Source organism: Homo sapiens, chromosome 8 (genome assembly GCF_000001405.40).
Source record: "Homo sapiens chromosome 8, GRCh38.p14 Primary Assembly".
Taxonomy (NCBI): Eukaryota; Metazoa; Chordata; class Mammalia; order Primates; family Hominidae; genus Homo; species Homo sapiens.
The window spans coordinates 99937571-99948101 of record NC_000008.11 but is presented as its reverse complement, the minus strand read 5'-3'; the positions used below and the strand labels follow the sequence as shown (position 1 = coordinate 99948101).

The window sequence follows — 10531 nt, the reverse complement described above, 5'->3', positions numbered from 1 at the left end:
AGTAAAGCTAATTTGCCAGTCCTGGGTGGGGGCAAATCCTCGAGCTTGATGTGTAGGGAAGGGAGGGGGCCTGAATAATCCCTGAGGAGTAGTAGAATAGCAGATGGAACACTGAGAAGTTATTTCCTTGAGGATAGATTTCCACGATGGAAAGGAAATGAGAGGTTCTGAGAGGCGGGCTAGTGGCTTGTACTATAGCATAACCTGCCGTTGCTGGTGTGTGGCGATTAGGCCTGGTGGAACCGCCATCAATAAATCAAGCGTGATCAGGGTGAGGAACAGGAAAGAAGGAAATATGGGGAAATGGGGTGAATATCAGGTGGATCAGAGAGATACAGTCATGGGGGTCAGGTGTGGTATCAGGAATAATGTGAGAGGCCAGATTGAAGTCCTGGCCAGGAACAAGGGTAATTGTGGGACTTAAAGAGTGAATACAGCTGAAGGAGCCGGGGAGCAGAAAGTATATGTGTCAGGTATGAGGAAGAAAATAGATTTTGGAAGTTATGAGAAATGTAGAGAGTGAGTTGAGCATAGTTTGTGATTTTTAGGGCCTCTAACAGTACCAAAGCAGCGGCAGCCGCTGCACGCAGACATGAGGGCTAGGCTAAAACAGTAAGGTCAAGTTGTTTGGACAGAAAGGCTACAGGGTGCGGTCCTGGCTCTTGTGTAAGAATTCTGACCGCACTAACCATGCCTAGGAAGGAAAGGAGTTGTTGTTTTGTAGAAGGTGCTGGGGTTTGAGAGATCAGTTGGCCACGATTGGCAGGGAGAGCACGTGTGTTTTTATGAGAATTATGCCAAGATAGGTAACAGATGAGGAAGAAATTTGGGCTTGATTGAAGTAATGGGAGCTGCCTGTGAAGCTTTGCGGCAGTACAGCCTAGGTAATTTGCTGAGCTTGATGGGTGTCAGGGTCAGTCCAAGTGAAAGCGAAGAGAGGCTGGGATTAAGGGTGCAAAGGAATAGTAAAGAATGCATGTTTGAGATCTAGAACAGAATAATGGGTTGTAGAGGCAGGTATTGAGGATAGGAGAGTATATGGGTTTGGCACCATGGGGTGGATAGGCAAAATAATTTGGTTGACAAGGCGCAGATCCTGAACTAACTCGTAAGGCTTGTCTGGTTTTAGGACAGGTAAAATGGGGGAATTGTAAGGAGAGTTTATAGGCTTTAAAAGGCCATGCTGTAGCAGGTGAGTGATAACAGGCTTTAATCTTTTTAAAGCGTGTCGTGGGATGGGATCTTGGCGTTGAGTGGGGTAAGGGTGATTAGGTTTTAATGAGATGGTAAGGGGTGCATGATCGGTCGCCAAGGAGGGAGTAGAGGTATCTCATATTTGTGGGTTAAGGTGGGGGGATACAAGAGGAGGACGCAAAGGAGGCTTTGGATTGGGAAGAAGGGCGGCAATGAGATATAGCTGTAGTCCAGGAATAGTCAGGGAAGCAGATAATTTAGTTAAAGTGTCTCAGCCTAATAAGGGAACTGGGCAGGTGGGGATAACTGAAAAGGAGTGCTTAAAAGAGTATTGTCTAAGTTGGCACCAGAGTTGGGGAGTTTTAAGAGGTTTAGAAGCCTGGCCTTCAATACCCACAACAGTTATGGAGGCAAGGGAAACAGGCCCTTGAAAAGAAGGTAATGTGGAGTGGGTAGCCTCCGTATTGATTAAGAAGGGGACGGGCTTACCTTCCACTGTGAGAGTTACCTGAAGCTTGGCGTCCTTGATGGTCTAGGGGGCTTCCAAGGTGATCGGGCAGTGTCAGTCTTCAGCCGCTAAGCCGAGAAGATCTGGGAAGGAGTCAGTCAGAGAGCCTTGGGCCAGAGTTCCAGGGGCTCTGGGAGTGGCTGCCAGGTGAGTTGAACAGTCCGATTTTCAGTGGGGTCCCACACAGATGGGACGCGGCTTAGGAGGAATCCGGGGCTGCGGGCATTCCTTGGCCCAGTGGCCAGATTTCCGGCACGTGTAGCAAGCTCCTGGGGGAGAAGGTTCTGGAGGAACACCTGGATGCTGTGGTTCAGGCGTTTGGAAGTTCTTGTGTGCTGGAGATGTGGCTGGGGTTTGTCTCACAGAGGAGGCAAGGAATTGCAACTTTTTTCTGTTATTGTACACCTTGAAGGTGAGGTTAATTAAGTCCTGTTGTGGGGTTTGAGGGCCAGATTCCAATTTTTGGAGTTTTATTTAATGTCGGGAGCAGATTGGGTAGTAAAATGTATATTGAGAATAAGACGGCCTTTTGACCTTTTAGGGTCTAGGGCTGTAAAGCGTCTCAGGGTTGCTGCCAAACGAGCCATGAGCTGGGCTGGATTTTTATATTTGACGAAAAAGAGCCTAAACGCTTCTGATTTGGGATAAAGAAAAAGGAGCATTAACCTTGACTATGCCTTTGGCTCCAGCCACCTTTTTAAGAGTAAATTGCTGGGCAGATGGGGGAGGGCTAGTCACGGAACGAAACTGTAAGCCGGACCAGGTGTGAGGAGGGGAGGCAATAAAAAGATTATAGGGTGGAGGAGCGGAGGCTGAGGAAGAATTGGGACCTAGCTCGGCCTGGAGAGGAGCAGCCTGGGGAGGAAGGGAGAGGTCAGATGGGTCTGTAGAGAAGGAAGATTAGAAAGACTCAGCGACGCTTGGTGTTGGTACTGAGGGGACAGGCAGGAGGGAAAGAAGGAAGATTTGGGATGAGTTGCACTGGGCACAGAGACTAGGAAGGGACTGATGTGTAAAAGGATGCCTGGATGTCAGGCACCTCAGACCGTTTGCCTATTTTATGACAAGAATTACTTAGATCTTGCAGGATGGAAAAATTCAAAGTGCCATTTTCTGGCTATTTGGAACTACTGTCGAGTTTGTATTGGGGTCAAGCAGCATTGCAGAAGAAAATAAGGCATTTAGGTTTTAGGTCAGGTGTGAGTTGAAGAGGTTTTACGTTTTTGAGAACACAGGCTAAGGGAGAAGAAGGAGGAATGGAGGATGCAAGGTTGCCCATAGTGAAAGAGGCAAACCCAGAGAAAAGAGAGCGTAGAGACATGGAGGGAAGGGGTTTGGGGGTTCTTACCCTCCCGAAAAGCAGGAAGGGGGGTTGGGGCATGGAAATAAGGGATTGGGGCACAGAGATAAGAGGTTGGGGTGTGGAAATAAGGGATTGGGGCACAGAGATAAGAGGATGGGGCATGGAAATAAGGGATTGGGGCACAGAGATACGAGGTTGGGGCATAAGGGATTGGGGCACAGAGATGAGAGGTTGGGGCATGGAAATAAGGGATTGGGGCACAGAGATATGAGGGGGCATAAGGGATTGGGGTGCAGAGATAAGAGGTTGGGGCATGGAAATAAGGGATTGGGGTGCAGAGATATGAGGTTGGGGCGCAGAAATAAGGGATTGGGGGTTCTTGCCCCCTAGAAAAGCGAGACTTGCTGTTAAGGGTGAAGGAGAAGGGGTTGAGGGGTACTTGCCCCTCCCCCAGAAAAGCAGAGAAGGGGTAGAGACAAGGAGAGAAGGGGTTGGGGTACTTGCCCCTTCCCCAGAAAAGCGGGACTTGCCGCTAAGGGTGAAGGACCAAGGCAGGCGTCCCTGTGTGGTCTGACACCTTTGAAACGTGGGTGAATAATCAGAGAGGCGTCCCTGCAATGATTAAACACCAAGGGAAGGCTGCCTTCCCAGTCCGTGACCGGCGCCGGAGTTTTGGGTCCACAGATAAAACGTGTCTCCTTTGTCTCTCCCAGAAAATGAAAGGAATTGAAATTAAGAGAAGGGAGAGAATGAAGAGTGGAAAGAAGAAAGTGGTTGAGGGACAGTGAGAGAGGTTGGAGAAAGAGAGTAAGAAGAGGCCGCTTACCTGATTTAAAATTGGTGAGATGTTCCTTGGGCTGGTCGGTCTGAGGACCTGAGTCGTAGGTGGATCTTTCTCACGGAGCAAAGAACAGGAGGACAGGGGATTGATCTCCCAAGGGAGGTCCCCCGATCCGAGTCACAGCACCAAATTTCATGCGCGTCTGTGTGAAGAGACCACCAAACAGGCTTTGTGTGAGCAATAAAGCTGTTTATTTCACCTGGGTGCAGGTGGGCTGAGTCCGAAAAGAGAGTCAGCGAAGGGAGATAAAGGTGGGGCTGTTTTATAGGATTTGGGAAGGTAATGGAAACTTACAGTCAAAGGGGGTTGTTCTCTGGTGGGCAGGGGCGGGGGTCACAAGGTGCTCAGTGGGGGAGCTTCTGAGCCAGGAGAAGGAAATTCACAGGGTTAATCACTCAGTTAAGGTGGGGCAGGAACAAATCACAATGGTGGAATGTCATCAGTTAAGGCGGGGCAGGTCCTTTTCACTTTTGTGATTCTTCAGTTACTTCAGGCCATCTGGGTGTATACGTGCAAGTCACAGGGGATGCGATGGCTTGGCTTGGGCTCAGAGGCCTGACACAGATAATGTTCATTTCTAGCTTATCTTTCCAGGTACAGAACAAAAACAAGATGAGATTACTCAATCCTTTACTCCTCCCTGAGACAGCTACTTCCTCTCTTTTTCTTCAAATGTTCACCTTAACTTACCTAAAATGTAAATTTACAAGGCACTATTTTTAAGGAAAATGTATAAATACTAAAGCTCCTGAGAACCTCTTTGGAAAAAAGAGCCACAGATGTGTCTGACTCACAATTTCCCGGGTGCACCCTCAAGCTGGCTCAGTGAACGTCAGTGATTTGAGACTTATGCCTCAGTCACTCATTTTGGTTGTCCAGCCTCTCAATCTAATTGTAGCTTGTATTAGGGCTTCACAAATGGGTTTCAGTACCATAGTATGTGGGGCTCCCATATCAAGGAGTCCCAGAAACTTCTCTTCTTCACCCCCTGACCTATTTTCCCACTCATGGGCAAAAGGCTTTGGGTCCCCAGCAGGGGTTTGAGCTAGGAGACCCTGATCTTTGTGTCTTCATATTGACTTATCTGCTTAAGCATTGCCCTAAGCCATTTTGGGTCAAGTTTCTCCTTGTCATCTTTGCCCTCTGCCTTTTAAAATTTCTTCATATGTGATAATAGAGTGGACTTCTTTGAGACTCTTTAATGTTAGGGAACCAGCCGGACATTCCTTTAGCCTGACCAACCTTCCATAACGTTGTAGTAAGACCTTTGTTTTAACCCTATCAATGTTCATTTTATTCATGCAATATTGTAACAACCACTTAAAGATTTCCACTCTGACTGGACAGGTCTCTTGGCTCTCCCCTTTCTTTCTCGTCTTTGTTTTGTACCCATCAATGTTTACTATATTCACTTGTTTCTTAAAAACCATTTAAAATTTTCCACCTTGTTAGAAGAGTCCTTTGACTTTCGCCTCTGCCTTTTCTCATTCTTTTGTTAATTAATCTAATATTTTAATTAGCATCTGTAAGACCATTGAGGGGAAACTGAGCCAGCAAATTCAATAAGGCTTCCTAGTCTGTTGCTCAGTTTTGCAGCAGTAAGATCACATAGGCTATCCATGCAAAAGCAGCCCCTTAGTTATAGCATTTACTATGACTTGAGTAATGGACATTTTCAGCAGGTGAATATCCTGGTCATTATAAAGCCAGTGCCACATAGCTTTCATATGAGAATATCAGCTATTTCAACTAGGGTGTTCTACTTGGCATTTACAGGGGAATTGGGCAGTCCTCCTCCCTAAAGGGTAGACCTACTTCACAGCAGCTTTTATCCAATCCAGCAGCCAGGCTTCTCCCTCATGATTAACCTCCTGGGTGTCTAGATCACATAAAGCCATAGATGATTGTTCAGTAGTGAGCTATGGGTCCTCCATCAACCCAAATATGTTCACTCTCTTTTCATTTCAGTTATTACAGATAACAATACCAAGAGATTGAATGTTTCACAATTTTCTTGTTATTTTGCATTTCCTCATGTCACAGCCGAGTTATTCTTGTCTGCTTCCCTGAAAAGAATCCAATTCACTGAGAACAGCAAGCGTTGCAGCAAAGAAAGAGTTTAATAATCATAGGGCCAACCAAGCAAGGGGAACAGAAGACATTTCTCAAATCTGCCTGCCCAAGAATTCAAAGGCTAGGGTTTTTAAGGGTGCTCTGGTCGGCAGGGGTCTGGGGAACTGAAACAATTGATTGGCTGGGGATGAAATTAGAGGAGTGTCTAAACTGTCTTTGTGCAGCTGAGTCAGTTCCCAAGAAGGGATCTCAGGACTCATCTCTTGGTCTGCCCAAATGCTAAATCCGAAAAATATCTCGAAGACTAGTTCTTTAGGTTTCACAATAGTGATGTTATCTATAGGAGCATTTGGGGAAGTTACAGATCTTGTGACCTCCAGTTATATGACTCTGGGGCAGTAAGCAACCTGTAGAAAAGCAAGCTAAGCCATGGCAGGTTATTGTTTAACTATGCCTATTCTTTAGCAAATTTCAGGATCCTACCATAATTCTAACCTTGTTTTATGAATGTGGCTTCAGTCTCTGAACAAGGAGGGAAGTCAGTTTTCCTTGCCTCAAAGTTTAAATTTCTCTCATGGTCTTCACACTAGAATAATCCAAAAACCAATTTAGCCTGTGAGGTTAGAAACAAGATGGAATCATTCATGTTAGATTCTCTCATTTCTTAAATTCTAAAAGAGATGGATCTAGCAAGGAGTGTGGGAAGGGACGGGGAGCTTCTATGGCCTCACTGGATATGCCAGACTTGCAGCACCTCCACGTGTTCACTGCCCCAGAAGCTCCAGCTCAGGGTGTTTAAGTGTAAATTCTGACTAATCATTGACCACTAAGCTGTGCTAACCCAGAGGTGATCCCTAGGAAACAAGACTTAAACATTAAAAAATGAAAAAAACAACTGAGCAAAGACATAAGTTGCTACACAATGTAGGGAAGACAGACTATAGAATTAGTCTAGGCAAGTCACTGAAATAAATGACAAAACTACAATAACTACCCAGGATTGGAGGTGAATCAGAACCCAGAAATGCTATAACATATTATCTTAAATGTCCAGTTTGTTGTTGTTGTTGTTGTTTGTTTGTTTGTTTGTTTTCTGAGATAGAGCCTTGCTCTGTCACCCAGATTGGAGTGCAACAGTGCAATCACAGCTCATTGTAACCTTGACCTCCCAGGCTTAAGCAGTCTTCCCACCTCAGCCTCCTGAGTAGCTGGGACCACAGGTGTATGCCACCACCCCCAGCTAATTTTTATTTTTAATTTTTTTTGTAGAGATGGGGTCTCCCTGTGTTGCCCAGGCTTGTCTTGAACTCTGGGGCTCAAGTGATCCTCTCACCTCAGCCTCCCAAAGTGCTGGAATTACAGGTGTGAGCCACCATACCTGGCTTAAAATGTCCAGTTTTAAACAAAAGATAAACACAAGACATGCAAATAAATATGAAAGTGTGACCCATACAAAGGAAGAAAAGCAGGCAGTAGAAACTCTCTCAGGGGGGCCCTCATATTAGATCTTATAGACCTCAAATCAGCTATTATAAATATGTTTAAATAACTAAAGGAAATCATACTTAAATAAAAGAAAACATGTGGTGGCAAGAGTTCATTAAACAACAAATAACAGTAAAAAGAAATTTTTTTAAATGGAAATTCTGGAGTTGTAAAATACCATAACTGAAATGAAAAATTCATCACATAAGTACAACAGCAGATGTGGGCTGGCAAAAAGAACTTAGAGATAGATGAATAGAGATTACCCAATCTGAATAACAGAAAGAAAAAAGAATGAAAATAAAGGAACAGTCCTTCAGAGAACCAAGGGACACCATCAAGCACAGAATGTGTTGCACAAAAGGAGCCACAGCACGGGGGCAGGGAAAGAAATGTGCAATAAAAATATTTGAAGATATAATGGCCAAAAACATTCCCAAATTAAAGTAAAACACTAGTCACATCCAAGAACCTTAAAGCAAATTGGATACAAGGTCAGTTTAATATCCAAAAATCATTTAATGTAAACCACTATACTAATAAAGGACAAAACCCACATGATCCTTTCAATAGACAAAGAAGCATTTGAAAAAAAAAAAACTAATGCTTATTAATAAACCTTGAAATAATTCAACCTAATAAAAGGCCTCTACAAAAAAACCACAGCTAACATTTATACTTAATGATGGGAAGACCAAAAGCTTCCCCCTAAGATTGGGATCAGTGCAAGGGTATTCCCTCTTGCCACTTCTGTTTATCATTGTGCTGGAGATTGTAGCCAGTGCAATCAGGCAAGAAAAGAAAAAGCGTACAGGTTGGAAAGAAAGAAATAAAACTATCTTTATTTGCAGATGATGTAAAGATGACATGGTTCTGTATGTAGGAAATTCCAAGGAATCCACAAAAACTGCTAGACCTAATAAATTCAAGAAGGTCACAGAATTATTGATCAGCATTAAAAAATCAATATTGTATTTCCATATACTAGCAATAAAGAAACAAAAATGGCCACATTGAATACAATTCTATTCACGATAGCATGAAATTGAATTACTTAAGAGTAAATTTAACAAAGGAAGTGCAAGACTTGCACACTGAAAACTGCAAAACATTGCTGATAAATATTAAAGAAGACCTAAATAAATGGAAATACATTTGATATCATGAACTGAAAGACTGAATATTGTTAAGCTGTCAATTCTCCTGAAATACATCAATGGATTCAACATGATCCCTATCAAAATTCCCTAGGTTTTTTGTAGAAATTGACAAGCTGATCCTAAAATTTAGCTTAGGAAAAGCAAAGGATACATGGCAAAATAATTTTGATAAGAACAAAGTTGGAGGACTTACACTTCTCAATTTCAAAATATATTGGTAATCAAGACAGTGTGGTATTGACATCAAACAGATATACAGATCAATATGAAAAAATTAAGAGTTTATAAGTAAGTCCATATGTTTACTGTCAACTGATTTTTCAACAAGGGCACCAAGGCAATTCAGTGAGGAAATTATCTTACATCAAACACAAAATTTTCCCCAGAATAGATCATACACCTAAATGTAAGAGATAAAAATTTTGAAAGAATGCAGGAGAAAAATCTTTGTGACCTTGGGGAAGACAAATTTTTCTTGATACCAAATCAACTAAAATATCAATAAAAATAAATGGATAAAATTATACTTTATAAAATTTAAAATTTTTTGTGCTTTAAAAGACAATTTGTTTTCATTAAGTAGATGAAAGGACAAGCCACAGACTTGGAGAACATATGGGCAAATTATATATCTCCCAAATAACTTGTATCTAGACTATATAAAGAACTTTTACAATTCAATAAGAAAAAAACATTTAAAAATGAGGAAAATATTTGACTAAATGTTTCACTAAACAATATACATGAATAGCCAGTAACTACATGGAAAGATACTCAACATCATTAGTCATTAGGGAAATGCAAATGAAAACTACAATGAAATACCTCCTCACACTCACTAGAATGGCTATAATGGAAAAGATGATAACAAGTGTTGGCAAGGATGTGGAGAAACTGGAACTCCCATATATTTATAGTGGGAATATAACAGCCATTTGGAAAAGTTGGCAGTTTTTTTATAAGTTAAATATATATTTACCATACTACTTAGCAATTCCACTCCTAGGAATCTACCCAAAAAAAATGAAAACATATTTTCATTTTTTAAAATGAAAGACAAAGATTTATATGTTGATGTTTATAAAAGCATTATTCTTAATAGTTAAAACATGTATACTACACAAATATCAATCAACTGGTGAATAGATAAAATGTTGCACATGTATAGAAGAGAATACCATTCTGCAATAAAAATGACAAGCTCCTGATACATGATACAACATATGTGAACCTCAAAAAACATTATGCTAAGTGAAAGAAGACAGGCAAATACAGTCTTGTGTCGCTTAACAATAGAGATATATTCTGAGAATGAATCCTTAGGTGATTTTGTCATTGTGCAAACATCACAAAATGTACTTATGCAAACCGAGAAGGTATAGCCTACCACATGCCTAGGGTATATGGTATAGCCTATTGCTCTAGGCTACAAACCTGTACAACGTGTTACTGTACTGAATACTGTAGGCAGTTGTAACACAGTGGTATTTGTGGATCTAAACCAGAAATGGTACAGATATGGCATAAAAAATATAAAATGGTACACCTATGTAGGACACTTACCATGAGTGGAGCTTGCAGGACTGGAAGTTGCTCTGGGTGTGAGTCAGTGAGTGGTGAGTGAATGTGAAGGCCTAGGATATTACTGTACATTACTGTACATTTTATAAACACTGTACACTTAGGCTATACTAAATTTACAAAAAAAGTTTCTTCAATAGTAAAGTATCTTTAGCTTACTGTAGCTTTTTTTTTTTTTTTTTGAGTTGGTGTCTCACCCGGTCACCAGGGCTAGAGTGCAGTGGTGTGATCATGTCTCACTGCAGGCTTGAACTCCTGTCCTCAAGCAATTCCCCCACCTCAGCCTCTCGAGTTGCTGTGATTGAAGGCATGGGCCACTGCACTCAGCCTTAGTGTAAGTTTTTTACGTTATAAACTTTTAATTTTTTAAAAACTTTTTGACTCTT

At 42.0% G+C, this 10531-nt stretch overlaps 2 annotated features.

The window, feature by feature from the left end:
- Positions 456-956: an enhancer, noted in NCBI's record as "H3K27ac hESC enhancer chr8:100959374-100959874 (GRCh37/hg19 assembly coordinates)". NCBI's record gives its function as "activates a minimal SCP1, AML or CMV promoter by ChIP-STARR-seq in naive H9 embryonic stem cells {active_cell/tissue: H9 hESC(naive)}" and the evidence as "EXISTENCE:reporter gene assay evidence [ECO:0000049][PMID:30033119]".
- Positions 3720-4919: an enhancer, noted in NCBI's record as "CDK7 strongly-dependent group 2 enhancer chr8:100955411-100956610 (GRCh37/hg19 assembly coordinates)". NCBI's record gives its function as "activates an origin of replication core promoter dependent on BRD2, BRD4, P300/CBP, MED14 and CDK7 cofactors, with strong dependence on CDK7, by STARR-seq in HCT116 cells {active_cell/tissue: HCT116}" and the evidence as "EXISTENCE:reporter gene assay evidence [ECO:0000049][PMID:35650434]".